General features: G+C 51.8%; 1 protein-coding gene across 18 annotated transcripts in view, besides 7 other annotated features; it reads right to left on the bottom strand.

Annotated features, from left to right (window-relative positions):
- RNF220 (ring finger protein 220) overlaps positions 1-17769 on the bottom strand; it is a 246942-nt gene that overhangs the window by 18059 nt on the left and 211114 nt on the right. For 15 of the 18 annotated variants that reach the window (XM_047424277.1, XM_047424269.1, NM_001319956.1 and 12 more), the window contains 3 exons: positions 10879-10924; positions 7268-7369; positions 1281-1323 (listed from right to left, as the gene is read on the bottom strand). In XM_047424277.1, coding sequence (XP_047280233.1) covers positions 1281-1323; positions 7268-7369; positions 10879-10924 — 191 coding nt within the window. Of the gene's footprint in view, positions 1-1275; positions 1324-1453; positions 3358-7267; positions 7370-10878; positions 10925-17769 lie in introns of those variants that run through there. The other 3 variants (XM_047424282.1, NM_001376489.1, XR_007061417.1) reach the window with 2 other exon arrangements.
- Positions 353-900: an enhancer, noted in NCBI's record as "H3K27ac hESC enhancer chr1:45098438-45098985 (GRCh37/hg19 assembly coordinates)". NCBI's record gives its function as "activates a minimal SCP1, AML or CMV promoter by ChIP-STARR-seq in primed H9 embryonic stem cells {active_cell/tissue: H9 hESC(primed)}" and the evidence as "EXISTENCE:reporter gene assay evidence [ECO:0000049][PMID:30033119]".
- Positions 970-1059: an enhancer, noted in NCBI's record as "active region_941". NCBI's record gives its function as "activates an Ori minimal core promoter by ATAC-STARR-seq in GM12878 lymphoblastoid cells {active_cell/tissue: GM12878}" and the evidence as "EXISTENCE:reporter gene assay evidence [ECO:0000049][PMID:35858748]".
- Positions 1330-1639: a silencer, noted in NCBI's record as "silent region_811". NCBI's record gives its function as "represses an Ori minimal core promoter by ATAC-STARR-seq in GM12878 lymphoblastoid cells {active_cell/tissue: GM12878}" and the evidence as "EXISTENCE:reporter gene assay evidence [ECO:0000049][PMID:35858748]".
- Positions 1330-1997: a biological region, named in NCBI's record as "NANOG-H3K27ac-H3K4me1 hESC enhancer GRCh37_chr1:45097341-45097888".
- Positions 1450-1997: an enhancer, noted in NCBI's record as "NANOG-H3K27ac-H3K4me1 hESC enhancer chr1:45097341-45097888 (GRCh37/hg19 assembly coordinates)". NCBI's record gives its function as "activates a minimal SCP1, AML or CMV promoter by ChIP-STARR-seq in primed H9 embryonic stem cells {active_cell/tissue: H9 hESC(primed)}" and the evidence as "EXISTENCE:reporter gene assay evidence [ECO:0000049][PMID:30033119]".
- Positions 1670-1759: an enhancer, noted in NCBI's record as "active region_940". NCBI's record gives its function as "activates an Ori minimal core promoter by ATAC-STARR-seq in GM12878 lymphoblastoid cells {active_cell/tissue: GM12878}" and the evidence as "EXISTENCE:reporter gene assay evidence [ECO:0000049][PMID:35858748]".
- Positions 2090-2189: an enhancer, noted in NCBI's record as "active region_939". NCBI's record gives its function as "activates an Ori minimal core promoter by ATAC-STARR-seq in GM12878 lymphoblastoid cells {active_cell/tissue: GM12878}" and the evidence as "EXISTENCE:reporter gene assay evidence [ECO:0000049][PMID:35858748]".

Below are 17769 nucleotides of genomic sequence, written 5' to 3'. Positions count from 1 at the left end.
ATGGAATGGTCAAGAAAGGCACAATACTGGATGCGCTCCTTGCTCAGGACACACAGGCCAGCAGATGATCCCTTGTTGTCCCTGGAAAGCACCCCAATGGACTGGGCTTCATCTGCAAATTCTCAGAGAAGGAAGGCAGGTTTGGTTTTCACCTTCCCATTCATCTTCTAAATCCTGAATTAAGCTTACCAAAGTGTGGTAGGGAAAGTTCTGTTCTCTATCCAGAGGCTACGTACGAGTAGGAAGAATCAAAGCATTTGCCAAGGAGGTAGCATGGCATGGTTGGAGAAACACGGGCTTTGGTGGGAAACAAACTTCAATTGAATCATGGCTCAGTTACATCCCAGCTGTGTACTTTTAAACAAACCACTTTCACCTCTCAGAGCCTGTTTTCTTATTCACAAAAGGTGTGTAATACTCTTCTCAGAGGCGTTGTGAGAATGGTGCTTAACATGGCGCCAGCCCATCATGAATTTCTCCCTTTTCCAGACTAGGGCTCAGCCTGGCAGCAGAAACCAAGTGATAAGAGCTGGGGATCTTGAACTCCATGGCCTCTCTCACTTACCAGCTGACCCAGAGACCCTAAACCCCTTACAGCCACCCCCCAGATACCACACCCCAGTAAGCACAAAAAGCTAGGATCATTCAATTGTATTCAGCAAACAGGAATGCTCCAGAGGTTTGAATCCAAAAGGGGGGCTGCTAGGTAGTGCATACACGGCCTGCTTTCAGAGAAGGCCTCTAAGAGCTGTCGAGCCCACGCTGATCACCTTTGTGAAATGTGGGCCGACTGATAACTCAAAGAGCCCTGGGATGAGTTAGTTCCTGTTGCCGTGGGAACTCCAGATCTCACTGTATTGTCAAGTCTCAGCAGAGGGGCTGTATTCACACTACTGGGCACTGATTAAAAACTGGAAGAAAAACATTCTCAGCGCCCTGCAGGTTTGTATAGTGAGGTCCCAGCAGTTTGCAAATTCAAAGCTGAGCTCCCGAGTAGAATTGTGTAGCTCGTTCCTCATTCTCCGGCACTTATTGCCCCCCCAGGGTTCTTCAGGGCCTTTAGAGAGGTTTGGGCAAGAGCTGGGCGCCATACCTCCATTAGACAGACGGGGAAACTGAGAGCGGCAGCTTTGGTTTGCACATACTCAGGCGCCGTGACTGCGAAGAAGCCAACGGGCCCCAGAGTCGAAGAGACCCAGGCAAGCCAGGAGCGGCAGGCAGTGAGGGAGGGAGGGAGGAGGCCGGGGGTGGGGCGGAGGGAGGGGCCGGGCAGGACTCACCATTCAGTCGGGTCTGCCGGTTGGCTCGTACTCGCAGAAAGGTCTGGGAGAAGATCGCGGGCAGATGCAAGAAAAGAAAAGAGAGCGTCAGGCGCGGCCTGCAGTCCTGGCCCCCGCCCCAGCACCGGACCCCCGACCAAAGCTGCTCCGCCCCAAACAGCCCGTAAACAAACCTACTTCCTCCCTCCCGCCGGCCCCTCTGCTCCTCCGGCCGCTCCGGGCTCTCGGCATAGCCGCCGGGCGCTGCTCTAACGGGACCCCGTGGCCGCTGCGCGGTGCCGCCCCAGCCCTGGCCTCCGGCGCTCTGGGCCCCACGGCCGCCCGGCCGGCGAGGGCGGCGATGCGGGCGGATTCCCCGTGGCTGCCCGGCGGCGGCGGCACTTCAGCTCCAAGCGGCGGCGGCGGCCATGTTGGCCCTAATCACGTGATCTGCCGCCGTCGCGCGCTGGGGGTGAAAGTTCACAATGCGGCGGGGGCGGCCGGACAGAGACCAGGAAGCTGCCGTTTGTACTCGGGTAGCAACCGGCAGAAGCCTCCCCGGGGTCCCTCCCACCGCCCGTGAAGCCTACCCACCCAATCTTTAGCGGCTGCGAAGTCCTTCCACCCCACTCCACGACCCCTCCCGCTGCGGGGCTCCTTCCGCCCCATCGCCCGGCCCCGGCTCCCGCCTCCTGTGCCTGCCTTTCTCGCGGCTGCCCTTAGGGCAGAGGCATCGCGTTGGGTGCTTTACAGGGGACAAGGCGTCCGAATTCCCTATCGCCTGTGGGCGATCCCCGCCCAACCCCTAGGCCATCCAGTTCTGTTATCAGAGGACTCCCAACATGTCAGCTGTCTGCTGCACGGCCCCTGGAGCTCCCATAGGCACTGCATACCCACACGGCCAACATGGCCAACATGGAACTCAGTATCCTCCAAACAGAGGCCTTCCTCTTGGGTTCCCTGTTCATAAGAGGAAGCCACTATCTACTCAGGTGTGCCCACAGAAGAAAGTTGAGAGTCGTCCTGGACCCCACTTTCTCCATCCCTCACACTCAATCCTTTTCTAGATCCTGAAAGTGTACATTGAAAGGTCGCTAATTTTCTCATCTCCACCTCTGTATCTCCTACTCATCCTTCCAGGTCTAACTGAAAAATAGCTTTGCCTTGTGTAAGAGTACATTCATCTCTGCGCCGTTATCATCGCTTGTGAAGTTTTTATCAGTGGACTGACCACTTCAGGGTTGGGGCCGTGTGTGAATTATTTGGGTGAACCCAGAGCCCAGCATGGCACTGGGCAAAGGCAAGTCAGCCCTGAGTTGTTCTTCCATGGTTGTACCTACCTTGGTTGTCGTTGTGCTCCAGTCATACATAATCTTACGAGCTCTCGAAATTTGCAGCTGTTCCCGTCTCATCTTTTGGTCTCTAGCTTCTCTCTCTGCAACCCATCCTCCACACTACACACAATGTGATCTTTCTATTGGACAAAATTAACCCTCTCCTTCTTTAAATCCTTCAGTGGTTCTCCATCAAGGCATATAGGCCTTCCCTGTCTGCCTTGCCAGACTCTTCTCTCACTCCTATTCTCTCCCTTTACATTCCTGACACTCAGCTTTGCAGAGCTAACTAGCTCTTTGAGCACTCCATGCTCTGCACTCCAGGCCAGAGAGCCTCCATGCCCTCCAGTATCCCTTGCTTGGTTAACTGTTGTTCATCCTTCAGGACTCTGGCAAGACTTAGTTTTGTCCCCCAAGCCTGGGTTTGATGCCTCCTCTGAGTTTTCAGTTCCACTGCTTCTCTTTGATCATGTATATTTTGATTGTTTGTTTACATATCTGTCCCTTGTACTTGGAAGGTCATCTCTAGCCATTTACCCAGCACAGCGTCTTGCATGAAGGAGACACCAGTGGGAACGGGAGAAAGACTTTATGAGATAAGCCCTGAGCCCAGTGATGGGTTGGGAAACAATCTCGGATTTAGGGCCAGACAGACTCAAGTTCAAGTCCTAATTCTGTTACTTACAATTTATGTGTTCTTAGAAGAGTCACCTCTTTCTAGGCCTGTTTCCTTGGTAATAGACTGGGCATGATGAATACAGTTGCTATGAGGTTTAAGTGAGGTAATGATAAAGAGGGTTAGTTAGTCAGCAGGGGCTAAGTAAATGAGAATTCAAACCAGAAACCAAGGCTCATGCCTTTAATCTTAGCACTTTGGAAAGCCAATGCAGGAGGATTGCTTGAGCCCAGGAGTTCAAGACCAGCCTGGGCAATATAGTGAGACCCTGTCTCTATGAAAAACAAAAACAAAACCCCAGAAACCAATACCCCCTGGTTTCAAGGCCTAGCTCAGTGACTTTAAAAATCCGACATAGCTGAACAACTACTACATGCCAGGCCTTGTGTAAAGAGCAAGGGATGGGATACCCAGCTAGTCTCTGGGTTGCTTTCCAGCTTCACCTACTAACTTTCCTTGCATTCTACTTTCTAACAAAAGCAAACTGCTAGCAGGTCCCCAGATACATCATTCTGTTACACCTCTATGTTCTCTACATAGTGTTGTCTTTATATCTGGAGTAACCTTTCTTCCTTGTCTGCCAAGTGAACTTCTGTTCCTTCTCTGAGTCCGTTTTCAGTCATTACCTCCTGTGTGAAGCTTACTCTGATTTTCTCCTCCTTCTACTGTAGTATCCTAGAAACGTATTCTTTATTATTAATTTTTTTTATTTTATATTTTTAGTAGAGACAGGGTTTTGCCATGTTGCCCAGGCTGGTCTTGAACTCCTGGCCTCAAGCAGTCCACTTGCGTTGGCCTCCCAAAGTGCTGAGATTACAGGCATGAGCCACTGTGCCTGGCCCCTAGAAACTTATTTATACTCCTGTCATAGCACTCAAGACACTGGACCATAATTGTCTATCTGCAAATCTAACCCCTTGAAGGCAAGGACACTAAGCTGAACATGAGTCAGTACTAAATAAATGTTTGAGTAAAGGAAGGATAAGACAAGGTCCTTGCCTTGGAGAAACTCCAAGTCTAGTGGAGTCAGATTCATTGTGAAAGATTAAATATGGCCAGAATTATTTGCATCTTCTCCTATCAAGAGCTGCCTTTCCTCATCACTCGATTATGGGCTAGCTTTGTGACTTGCTTTGCTTAATAGAAAGTGGTGGAAGTGATGTGTGAGTTCCAGATTCTAGGCCTCAACAGGCCTTGCGGCTTTGGCATTTACCCTCTTGGTGTGACACTGCCCTGAGACTGCTAAGTAAGAAAGCTGATTGAACATACTGGAGGATGAGAGGCCACATGGAAGAGAGCCAAGACACCCAATCTCCCAAACATGCGGTGAGGCCATTTTAGACTTTCCAGCCCAGCCAGTCCTCCAGGATGAATGAGCTGCATGAGTGAGGAAATGCCCAGTCAACCACAGCATCATAAATAATGAGTTGTGTTAAGCCACTAAGTTTTGGGATGGTTTGTAGATAACGGAAACATACCTGAACAGGTGATCACAATGTAGGGTGACGGGGCAATAACCAGGACACACAAGGGTCAAGAGATAGCTAATCCAGAAAGACTTCCTGGAGGAGATGATATTTGGGCAGGATTTGGAAGGATAAATAGAAATTTGATGTAGTGGGGTAAAACAGTTCTGTTAGAAGAAATAGCATGTGAAAAGACATAGAGGCAAGAAAGGAATGCCTCATCCAGGGAGTGTTTAGCATTAGTTCAGTGAGCATAGCCCATAGGATTCATGGACAGTATTTGGAATGGAAGCTGGAAATATAGGTTGAATCTATATCACAGAAGGCCTCGCTGCCATGATAAGGAGCTTCAGCTTTATCTTGTAGGACACAACCTAGTTTGATTTGCCCTTTCGGAGGTGTGCTTAGAGTCTAGAACAGGGTCTTGGGTCTTAACCTGGGCTTCAGAGATCTCCAAGTGGTATTGGGATGGGATCTAGAGCTTTCCTAACCTCCTGAAGTTGTATGTATAACACTGCATGTGTGTGTGCCTGTGTGTATGTAAAAACACATGCGTATGTTTTTAGGCAAGAGAGTCCATAGCTTTCCTCATAGTCTCTAGGAGATAAAAGAAATACTGACATTTGTGGGGAGGAAGGTGGGTCAGGGAGTTGAGGCATTGTTGCCTGATGGTTACTCTTTCCTAGTTGAACAGATGGCAAGGCGCATGCCGTGAGTGCAGTACAGAGGACAGGCCTCTGAAGGTGGGGCTGTCTATTCCTCTGGACCAGAATGCTCTGGAACAAAGCCTTGTCTCTGTTCCCTATCAGATCAGAATTCCCTGGGGTCTGGTCATTTCTCTGCCTTGAACCAGGGTTGTCTGGATCGGGGCAGTGTCTCCCAGGGGCTTATTGGGCTTCCTTTCTGAAACTGGGGTTCCCTTAGAGAGAGCAGGGATCCCTTCCCAGGGCTTGCACTTTGGGCTATGCAGTTTGAGTCCCATGCAAAGGCATTCGGCGGAGTCTGTCCAGCCGTGCTGGGCACTCTACTCTCCAAGCTCTGCACCCTGTGCCAGGCCAGGCTGTGTCAGCTGGAAGGAAGGGGTGCAGAGAACACCTTTCTTTAATTCCCACAAAGGGTCAGGTGTGCCAGCAGGGCCCCTGGTTCTCTACCCAAGCTTACAGGTCCCTGCAGCCCTGTCTTTCTGTATCAGATCAGGGCTGTTCTTCCCTTCTCACACTGGGCCTCCCTGCGAAGCCCTGTTGCCATTTGGACAAATGTTCCTTGGAATAGGGCACTGTTCTCTTTCATCTAACGGCTCTGGGGTTCTTAAAGACAGGGCTCTGCCTCTCCTTAGACAAAAGTTTTGGGGGAAGTTCTTTGTCCTTCCTACTCCAGAGAAGGTCCGTTTATAGCTAAGATGCTACCCTTAGGCCCCTCTGCTATGATATTGTAGGACTGTGTGATGACTCCCTTCCTATTTGCCCAAGACACTCACAGGCAGTGTGTGCCTGTCTCTCTATCTGGGCCTGATACCAAGGTTTGGCAGAATTGAATGGTTATTTGCTTAAGGTATCACGCTTTTTTTTTTTTTTTTTTTTTTTTTTGAGACGGAGTCTTGCTCTGTCACCCAGGCTGGAGTACAATGGCGTGGTCTCAGCTCACTGCAACCTCTGCCTCCCGGGTTCAAGTGATTCTCCTGCCTCAGCCTCCGGAGTAGCTGGGATTACAGGCGCCCGCCACCATGCCTGGCTAATTTTTGTATTTTTAGTAGAGATGGGGTTTCACCATGTTGGCCAGGCTGGTCTCCAATTGCTGACCTCGTGATCCGCCCGCCTCGGCCTCTCAAAGTGCTGGGATTACAGGCATGAGCCACCACGCCTAGCCTTTTTTTTTTTTTTTTTTTTTTTTTTTTTGAGATGGAGTCTCACTCTGTCGCCAGGCTGGAGTGCCGTGGTGCAATCTTGGCTCACTGCAACCTCCATCTTCTGGGTTCAAGCGATTCTCCTGCCTCAGCCTCCCAAGTAGCTGGGACTACAGGCACACGCTACCATGCCCAGCTAATTTTTGTATTTTCAGCAGAGATGGGGTCTCACCATGTTGGCCAGGATGGTCTTGATCTCTTGACCTCGTGATCTGCCTGCCTCGGCCTCCCAAAGTGCTGAGATTACAGGCATGAGCCACTGCACCCGGCCGGTATCATGCTTTTGAAGTCTGAAATCTTCAGGTGATTCTGGGCTATGTATCTGGGTCTCTTATGAAACCAAACCCCATAGGATACTTCCTGATGGATAGAATGATTCAGAGGTGCTCAGAGCCCATGGAGCCCATGTGACCTTGGCATCTCTCCCTAAAATCCATCTATTTAAGGCCTATTCCCTGACACGTATGCCTCCTGAGTTCACTTAGGGGCACGGGACACAGGGGGAACCAAACCCAGTTCAGGCCTCTCCTGTGGCCTACAGAGGAGAGGAGGAGTTAGCACCGGGCAGGCTCTTGAAGCCCTCCCCCAGGTGAGCTTGCTTCTCATGGCCACTCACCACCCCTCCTCACCTGGTATCTGTCTGAATGGTGGAGGTCATCGGTGGCAGATGAGTGGGGTGATGCCGTTGGAGACTCTCCTTCCCTCTTGATGGAAGCAGACAACAGGAGGGACTGGAAGAAGAAAAAAGACATGTGGCCTCAGGCCAAATGAGACCTACAGTCAGTCCCTAGAGTTCCCAGTCCTGTGGTGCTTTGGGGAGCCAGGCAAAGAGAAGGAGGCTGAGGGATAGAAAGACCACTCTTGAGATTCTAAAGGCATGGGGTCAAGTCCTGGGAGTGTGGTTGTGGGAGAGCATGGCTTGGTTTTAGGGATGGGTAGAGACCCCTTGAGGGACCCTGCTTAGGCTAATCTCTGTCCCAGTGGAGTGAGACTCCCAGTCCACTCCGAGTAGGCTGAGACTATATATGTTTTGTTTTCCCTTGGAGAGCAGAGACTCTGGGATCCCCATGAAGGGTTGTGGGTAAAGCCATATACCCGCTACCCCGCCTGCCCTTAATACAGGCTGATGGCAGCCCCACAATGGAGACAGTAAATTAAATAGCATGTGAGTTTCCCACGTGCAGCTAGGGATGTATGTGGGTCCATTTATCCCGGTGCTACGGTGATGACCCCAGCAAAAACCCCAGCAAAACTAATCCCCCCATGTCAATCTTGTATGGCCTCTTCTACATACGCCTGCAGTTTAGATTAATAAACTGTCTGCTTGAAATTGTGTGCAATCACCACAATTCTAAATACCACATGGCACATTCTGCCTGAGAGCCCGCTCTTGCCAAGGCCTGTTCAGCTGCAAACTGGGTGCCTGGAGGCCTGAAAGCAATCCATACTTCCTCCCCCCACCTTCTCCAGCCTGTACAGCTCTGAGCCGGAAGCACACAGTTCCCTAGGAGTCTTCCCCAGCTTAGAAAACCATGCCAAATCGCCAGTGACAGCCCAAAGAAAGCAATTTGGGAAAGATGGAGCAGCCATTTATCCTTCATCTCCGGCTGAGCCTTAGGATGTGACCCGCATGCGGTGGCCATGCTGCACATCCTCAGGCAAGGGCCCTGGAAAGGGAAGGGACAGCTGCTGGTCTGGCAGGGCTCCCTGACTTGCCCATACCCCAGGAGCTGGAGGAGAGAAGAGGCTGGAAAGGGCCTGCATGGGATTCTCTGCAACGTGGAGCTCCTTCTTCACCCATCCAAGCCCAGTGGGAGGCCTCATGGGTGACCCAGCCCTCAGCTCAGAAAGGAGGTGCTCTCAGGCAATGTTCTTCTCCTTCTCTGGTCCCAAGGAAGATGCTAACGAGGGGGAACAGTGTGGGTCACCCCGACCTCCGGCCCATGAAAAAGCTCCTGTTTGTGCGCTTTCTCTCTCTCTCTCTCTCTCTCTCTCTCTCTCATTCTCTCTAGGTTAGAAGCCCTGAGAGGCCTCGGCATTACACCTGGGGCAAGCGGAATAAAAAAAGGTCACTGGTGCTTTTTAAACATGGACCAAAAAGCAGTAAAATGTGTTTTGAAAAAAAATCCCGGCATTAAATCATGACTTTTTGCCTGGCTCTTCGCCTCATTAAAAGTGGCCTTTTGGAAGGTAAAATTATCATTGTAAGCGATAAGATCTTTAAGAAAATAATTCACGGCTTCTTCACCCTTTAATATGATAGCCGCCACCGGCTAATTTTTTTCTTAATGGCAACGAGGCCATCAATCTTGTCTAAGGCCCCCTCGCCCTCTCCTCCTCCTCCCTCCCTCCTTCTCCCTGTCCTTTCAGTCTCTTGCTTGAACCTTCTCTCTCTCGCCTCTTCCACTCACGACCTGCTTCCCTAAAGCCTAGGTCAAGGCAGAGGATAGACCCTGAACTATTCAGCTTTGGGGGTGTGGGCATATATCTGGAAGTGGGTGAGCAAGTGTCCCTTATCTCTGTGTCTCATGGTCAGTATGCCTGTGTCTGTGGTTTCAGGACACATGTTTTAAGACTTCCTATGTCTGTATTCTGACCTGAGTGTGTGTGTGGGTCTGTATATGTGGGGAGCTAGGGACGGAGGTAGACTGTGTCTGCCAGGGGTTTGTCCTTAGAACACAGGCCTCACTGATGTCCAAGTCCCCAGCCCTGCCAGCCATGCTCAGGTGTCAGCTGTCACCTGTGGTGGCCGACTTGGAAGCTTGTCTCTGACTTTCCTGAACCACACCATTAAATGCTGCAGGCTGGGCCACACTCAGTGAGTGTAGCTCGCTACCTCTGTGAGTCTGCAGCTGCCTGGCACCCCCAGCCTCCCCTTTCTCTTTGGGGCTTTGACTCCTTGGCCAAGGCCTATACCCACCCAAGGCAGGGCTAGGTGCTCTGCTCCTCCTCTCCCAGCTTGCTGCAGGTGAGCAGTTTTCTAAACGAAGGTACACGATCCATTCCTATACCTTTGAAAGGCTTGCAGGGTATTTGGGTCTACCCCATGGAAGTGATACTTGTCACTCTGGCTCCTTTCCCAAAACTGCCCTCTTAGAGGTCACCAGTCACTGCCAGACTTCTAAATACAACGGGCCCCTTCTCCAGTCTTTCCCTGTTTGACTGCTGACCACCTGATACATTTAGAAACTTTCTTCCTTAGGATCCTGAGATACCATGCTCTCCTGTGCCCCTCTTAACTCACTGAGTGTTCCTCCTCTGTCTCCTTCCCTGCCTCCTGGACCTTATCTTGACACCAAGTGCAGGAGTCCCTCAGATTCTCACCTTGGCCTTTGCTCTAATCTCTCCAAACACTCTCCTTCACTGATTCCACCCATTCCCAAATCTTCCATAGTCATTCCTCACTCCCTATAAAATGGGCTAGGGGTGGCCTCCTGTTCTGAATAATTATGGGAAAAAGGATGCAGTCTTCTACCGAGGAATGGGGAAGGGGATACTCAGTGAGTGAGGGTTTGGTTCTCCCCATGTATCCATCCCCTCAAAACCACCTTTGGGTAAGTAGTACCCACTGTGTCCATGGCCATCTTTGAGGAGTTCTTGATACAAATGTCATTGTGCTAAGGCCTCTTGGCCCCTCCTTTGAGCCAGATATTTGCTCTTCACTTTCCCTTTCTCCAACTGATGCTTTCAAGTCTTTCTCCCACAGGGTTTGTTCAGAGAGGCAGACTAGCTCCCCAAAAGAGTCCAGCCTCTTCCTTGGCTCCTTGTTCCCCTCAGGACAAAGTACACACAAACACACACACACGCACACACCTGCACATTCATACACCCCTGTGCCCCCATAGTCTGGCTTCTAGGGCCCTGCACTATCTTGACCTGCATTTCTTTATTTTTCTTCATCTGCTATAGCTCACTTTCTTCCTTTGAGTCTTCTCACCCTTAGTGTCTGGGTCACCCACATCTCCCAGGCCATTCTTGGCTCTGACCCCTCTCCTGGCTGGAAGAGGAGGAAGTCAGATGAGCATACTCTCACTCATGCACAGACCACACACACTTACACACACACACGGCGCAGCCCTAGGCCTCAGGATGATGTTCAAGACCTGGAGATAGTTGAGGATATTAGAAAAGCTGGAGATAGTTGAGGATACTAGAAAAGCTCCTTTTTCTCAGGAGGAACCAGTTCTGGGTAGGCCTAGGTTAGTATGGGCAGGAGGAAAACATGTAATTGGCCACCTACCTTTGGGGTGCCTGGAGCCATGGCATCCTTCAGAAGGGAATTCTTGCTGCCAAGAAAGAAGAGAACAGGGTAACCATTCTACCTGCTGCCCAGGGCATGCAACGGTAGAGTAGCAAGAAGACCCCAAAGACAGAGAAGGCATAGACCGCCTAGCCCAGCCCAGCTCAGCCAAGCTCCACCCAGTCCTTTCAATCCCAGTGGCCCAGCCTCTCTCATGGGCTGAGTGGCTCAGCCTCTCTCTTGGGCCAAGGGCTAGTGCTGGCCCCTGGGAGGGAGACACAGACACTAGGCATGGTAGATTTCCCAGTGGATCTGAAGAAAGGGGCTTTACCTGACTCCTCGTATCAGCCCTGAAGATTCTGCCTGTCCTGGAGACCCCCTTCTCTCCACCCCCTGTTCCCAGCCCGCTCTTAGCTCCTGTGGGATTGGGGTGATGGAGCTGACAGGGCTCTTGTCAATTCTCCCTCCAACATGCTGCAAACTGTGTTAGGCCAGGAATGATCTCCCCCTGATTCAATTTGTCAGCCCCAGGCCCTCCGGCATCGGGCGCGGCAGGCAGGCGGGAGCTGGGCCCTGAAATATGGTGGGCGGCTCAGAGCAGGCGGGGGCTGGGGTGGGAGGTGATGGATGGGCTGTGGGGGAGGCGAGGACTGTGTTTAATAACAAAATTGGTATGCAAGGCCACATCCTGCGCTAAGCATGAGTGATCCAGAGCCACAAAGTATTACAAATCCCTGCTAAACAGATGCTGACAATGGAACAAGACGTATCAAATCAGATCCACTTCAGAAACATTAATATCCCTGTTCCTGTCCCTCCCTGCCTGCTGCCCCCACTACGCTTGCCACATCTGTGCTCGCACATTCATGCGCGTGCACTCACACACACACACACATGCTCACAGAAGTGCTGGCTGATGAATGCACGGAGGCAGACACAGCCCATTCACATAGGGTCCCTGCACAGACACACATATGAGGTATAACGTACAGCACACCTGCAGATATACCCGGAAAGCAGAAGAACACACAGACACACATCCAAGGCAGAATGCATGGGGCACATAGGGACTTAACGAGTGTAGACATAAGGAACATCCACAGATGAGCTCAGACACCCACAGGGCCAGACACAAACGTACCGGACAAGCCAGCAAAAGCACAGGCAGATTCAGATGCAGCAGTGACTCTCAGTGGGGGACAGGGGAGAAGGGGAAGGGATGTTCACCTGCACAGGGGACATCCAGCAATGTCTGGAGACATTTTTGATTGTCAAAACTTGAGCGGAGGGAGGGGAGGTTGCTACTGGCATGGAGTAGGTAGAGGATGTTAAACAGCCTACAGTGTACCAGACAGCCCCTCACAGCAAAGAATTATCTGACCCCAAATGTCAACTGTGCCGAGGTTGAGAAACCCTGGTATAAAGGCGCACACATATATACCCATAGACTTTCTATAATTCTGCCAACAGGCACAGATATAACCAGTCACACCTGGAGACTCAGACACGCATACAGATGCACAGGGCCACAGAGGCATATTCCCAGACACATGTCCATAAAGACAGATGCATGGTCCGGTGCAGTGGCTCACGCCTATAATCCCAGCACTTTGTGAGGCCGAGGCTGGTGGATCACCTGAGGTCAGGAGTTCGAGACCAGCCTGGCCAACATGGTGAAACCCCGTCTCTACTAAAAATACAAAAATTAGCTGGGCGTGGTGGCAGGCGCCTGTAATCCCAGCTACTCGGGAGGCTGAGGCAGGAGAATCGCTTGAATCCAGGAGGGAGAAGTTGGAGTGAGCCGAGATTGCGCCACTGTACTCCAGCCTGGGCAACAAGAGTGAGACTTTGTCTCAAAAAAAAAAAAAAAAAAAAGATTCACAACAGCCACACAGATTAGATGAGAGCTGCTCATGTGCACAAGTCCAATAAACACATGCGTAGATATGGACACCTGTGTGTACCAACACACACCCAGATGCACATGTACCCACAAATGTAGACACAGATGCACAACACACATAACATATGTATATCCCAGTGCAGAGGCCACCAGGCCCAGCAGCAGAGTGAGGCCAAGGTCTGAGTGTAAAAACAGAGCTGTCAGCCAGTCTAATCACACAGTGGGGGCATCACAGACTAGGAAGGCTAGCTACAACAGGTTCCATTCAATTATGTTTTGCTCATAAATGGTTCATGCCAGCCCTGATGTAGGCACTGGGGATTCAAGAAGGGCACGGAGCTGCTTTTGAGAGCAACTAGTTTTTGAGTTTATGGCTTTTATCATTCGTTCACTCCTTCATTCACTCAGTAAACAAATACTGCCATCACCATTTCTGGTACGGAAATGAGGTATCTACTGTACAACACCATGCTTGCTCTACCTGGCCTAGGATAAGAGTATTATCTCCAGTTGGATCAGGTGACAGCAGAAAAGGAAGGAATGAACAATGATTGTACACCCACTGTATGTGACAGGCGCAGGCCTTAACATGTGTTATCTCATTGAAACTTCACAAAATCTCTACAAAGTTGACTACCAGGTCAAATGACATTTCTATGGTCACACAGTCCGTGGAGGGTTTGGGATTTGAGTTGGCATCTGGCCAAGCCCACAGTGCTGGCTTTTAATTGCCCATGCTGCCTCCCTAAAGACACTCAGGGCTTAGGATAGAGGGCAGAATCCAGTTCTTTTTCTTTGCTTTCTGTGTGACTTTGGGGAGGGGAACTGCTGACTCTGGGCTTCAGTTTGCTCTGCTGGTGAACAGAAACAGGGACATTCAGGGTCAGAATGCCCAGCCTGTCATTTGGCGATCCACTCCTCTGGATCTTTTCCTAGCAACACTCTTCACTGTCCCTTGCATTGCATTGGTACTACCTGAGACTCCTTGCCTCTCTCTGAGCAAGGGACCCCCTCCCTATCTTCCCTCCAACAACCTGATTACCTCCCAGTGTGCTTGGCCCCCAGAGGCTGAGGAGTCTGCTGAAGGGCCTGCCTCATAGAAGACAGGTCTGAGGTCCGCAGCTGTAGGCAGCCTGGCTCCCGCCCAGCCCATCAGCTCTGCCTTCATCCCTCCCTATTTCCACAGCCCGCCCCCAACGATTTCCTCCCTTGCTCAGTCACTCGCTGCCTAGTGATCCATGGGTTTTAAATTATAACTGGGACCCAGGAAACGCATTCCTAAGTACAATATTCATGGGCTGGGCTGACACTTTTAATTAAGGTGATTTACACTGAATTATCCTTGGAAATAAAGAAATGGTGCACTGCCCGGGAATAAACCATCATCACCAGCCGCCTTTGTAAGTTACACTTCGTTTTAATCTATTTGGGGAATTGTTTATCTAGTTCATTACCCAACCAAACACCGAGGCCGGCCTTAAATAAGGCTTAAGTGGGGGTGGGGGCACTGCCATCTCCACACCCCGCCTCTTCTCTAGAGTCACCCAGCCTCCCTCTGGCTTCTTTGAGCCCTTTTAAAGTGCTGGCCAGAGAGCTGGCTTCCCAGCTCAGAGGCCAGATCTTGAATGGCTCCAGAAACCTCCCAGAGAATCTCTCTAAGTTCAGGCCCCACCAAGCCAAGCCCAACTTTTAGCTTTGTGCAATCTCTCCATGCCCAAGGCTACTTCATCTCTCTGGATGGAAACTCCTGCCTGAGGGCCACTGGGAAGTCTGGGGGCCAACTCCTTCCTCCACCCCCGCCCTTCAACCTCCAGCCCCCATCTATCTATGTCCCTGCCTGTCTCTCCACACATCCAGTCCCTCCCCCATCACCAACCCAGAGACATCTTAGGCTGAGCTTGCCCAACATCCCCTCCTTCCCTCAGACACTTGCTTCTCTGCCACCATCACTCTCCCAATCATTCAAGTTAGAAAGCTTCCTCCCAATAAGCACCCCAACTAAGTCCTGTGGCTTCTTCCTCCACCTGGTCTGTCGTCATTCCCTCTTCTGCATCCCCACTGCCACTGCCACTGTCCTGGGTCGGCCTCACCAACTTTCCCCTGGACCCTGGCCGACCTCCTCCCTTGCCTCCTGTTTCTTCCCCCAACCCACACTCCACACTGGCCTTGCAACCATGCCCCTCCCACTTGTCTCTCTCTGACCAGGCTTCACCCTGGCTCATGAATGTTCGGCTTACTCTCCACCCCATCAAGGACGTCCTCCAGCATTGAAGGCCCTCCACAATCTGTCCTCCATCTAACTTTGCCCTCCTTGTTCTACCTGGCCAAGTTCTGGGGTCTGATGGAACCCCTGTGAAGGGGTTGAGAAGGGGAAAGATAAAGGATGGGGTGAGGGAGAGAGTGTTAGCACAGCCTCTGATCTCAAATGGAAAAGTGCTTTGAAAAGTGTAAGGACTTTGCCAAAGGAAGTTCTGATTGCTCTTCCTGTAAGTGTCTGTGCACCCATGTACCTGTGGGAATGACACCCATGGGACAAGGCTTCTTTCAGGGTGTGTGTGTGGGCACATCTGTGTGTTGGAATGGGTGTGTGTGTGCACCTGCATGTCCTGTATATGTTTGCGTCTGTGTCTGAAACACAGCCAGCCCTGGCTCTGGAGCTGGAAGGTTCCTGCTTCTCTCTGTGAGCCCGTGAGTGTGTCTGAAATAGCAGCCTGCTCCTAGTGGGGTGTGCTTTGTGCTGTTGGGCAAAGGGAGGCAGGAGGTGGAACACCAGGCCAGTCTGAAGAGCCCCTTAGGATGCAGTCAAGTGGAGGGGGGACGTGTCCAGGTTGATGGAGGGCACCTGGCGGCAGCATCCACAGACTCAGGAGCTGGCTAAGCTGAAGAAGGCCAGGGAGGGCAAAGGAGGCAATGGAGGCAAAGGCAGGGTAGGAGAGGAAAAGGGACAATTGGAGGAGAGAAGAGGGAGGAGTCAGCAGGGGAAAGAAGGGCTGGGGCAGAGAGGAGAGGGGAGGGGAGGAGGGAGAGCTGGGGAGGAAGCCTCCAAAGATGTGCCTTTGGTGGATGGAACTGCCCTGATGTGGGCTCTGCTAGGACCCTGGAAGTGAGGCACACACAGGCTCTGCCCTCCTGCGGGCCTCAGTTTCCCCATCTGTGAAATGGCTGGTTTCAGGCCCCTCTGCTCAGGGAGCTGATGGTGAGGAGTGGAGAGGGTGTCTCAGGAACCCCAGTGTGTCATCTTTTCCCAACCTCCTCTGCTGTCTTGGCTTCCCGAGAGCGGGCAGGGGCGGGGCAAGGGCAGCCAAGGCTGGGGCCCTCCCCGCGCTCCCCGCTGAACGGCCGTCAGCCCGGAGGGAGCTGACACGCTCCTTGGGAATTTATCACGCACCCAATTACAATGTTAATTGGCAAGTTCCTGAAATCAATTAATTCGCAAATTTTTTCCAATTAAAAATCCAGATAAATCACGAGGGCGGCGGCGGGCCGGTCCAGCCCACAGTCCGGTGGGCGCAGCGGCCGCAGGGAGGGAGGGCGAGAGAAGCGAGGGGAGGGGGCGCGGGCGCGGCTGCCCTTGAACGCCTTTGCCGGCCGGTCCAACTGTCAGCGCGCCGGGCGCGGCGGGGCCGAGACAGATAAAACCATCGACCCGTCGCCGCCAGCGTTTCGGCTTTATCGATCCGACGGGAATTTCACTTGCTGTGCAGATCCCGCTGTCCGGCTGTCAGACACCCGGTTGGAGGGGGGCGCGTGCCGGGGGCGCAGGGCGCGCACAGACGGAGGGGGCATGGGCGTAGGGGTGCTGGGCTGGGCCGCGACGTGAGGGGTACAGATGCAGGGACGCAAGACATAGCCGTGAGAAGCATGGAGCTTGGGGTGGGGAAATGGACACGGGGATGCTCTGGGAGGATGTGAGGGATAAGGGGGTTGTGCAGAGTCATGGGTGGGGGTGTGGAAAAAGGAAGGCTGTTGGCAGAAGTGCATGCCCTGGACATTGCAGGTGTGGAGCACCTGGGACTGCACTGTAGTGTGGCCCTCACCGAGGAGGCAGACAGAGAGCTGGGGGCCCGCATTCTCCAGGCCCTTAGGGGGCACACTGCTTTTACAAGGCTGGGCATGCTCCTCTAGCCTCTACCTCTATTCTCTGACCCTGGTAGGAGAAGTCCTCCTCTGGGAGCAAATTACACAGGACTCCTCCTGGACAGCCAAAATATGGAACCCAGCTGCAGAAGGATTTTTTTTTCCCACTTTCTGCCACTGGCAGGCCAATCCCAGGTGTGTGTGGGCGGGGGGTAGGGATGGGGAGTGATTAAGAGCATGGGTACTGGAGTCAGATTACTTTAGGTTTGAATCTTATCTTCATCACTTACTAGCTGTGCAACCTTAGAGATGTCACTTAACTCCTCTGCACCTCAGTTTCTTCCTCTGTAAAATGGGAGCAATTATTGTCACCTACTTCAGAGGGTTGTTGTGAAGATTAAATAAATTAATGCAATGTAAAGTACTCGGCACATAGTGAGCATTCAACAAGGATTATTATTATTATCACTGGTATAGTCTTATATGCCCATGGATTCTTTCATACTCCTCCCTTCAATGGGTAGAGCTTCTAGAGCTTAATTCTTCTCCCTTGAGAATGAGCTGGACTTGACAACTTGCTCCTAGTGAACAGAATAGAATAGAATAGAGTAGAAGCAACAGTGTGTGACTTCCCAGACTAGATCATAAGAAGCACTGTGGCACCCTCCTTAGTCTTCTCTTGGACTGCATGCTCTGTGGGAAGTCAGCTGCCATGTCATAGGGAAATTCAAGCTGTCCTATGCAGAGACCCACATGTGGGGGAACTGAGGCCTCCTGCCAACAGCCATGTGAGTGAGCATCTTGGAAGCAGATCCTGCAGTCCCAGTCAGATCTTCAGATGACCGTTGCCTTGGTTGACATCTTGACTGCAGCTTCATGAGAGACTCCCAGCCAGTAGCCACTACTACCCA

Source organism: Homo sapiens, chromosome 1 (genome assembly GCF_000001405.40).
Source record: "Homo sapiens chromosome 1, GRCh38.p14 Primary Assembly".
Lineage (NCBI taxonomy): Eukaryota > Metazoa > Chordata > Mammalia > Primates > Hominidae > Homo > Homo sapiens.
This window is presented reverse-complemented; position numbering and strand designations above follow the sequence as displayed.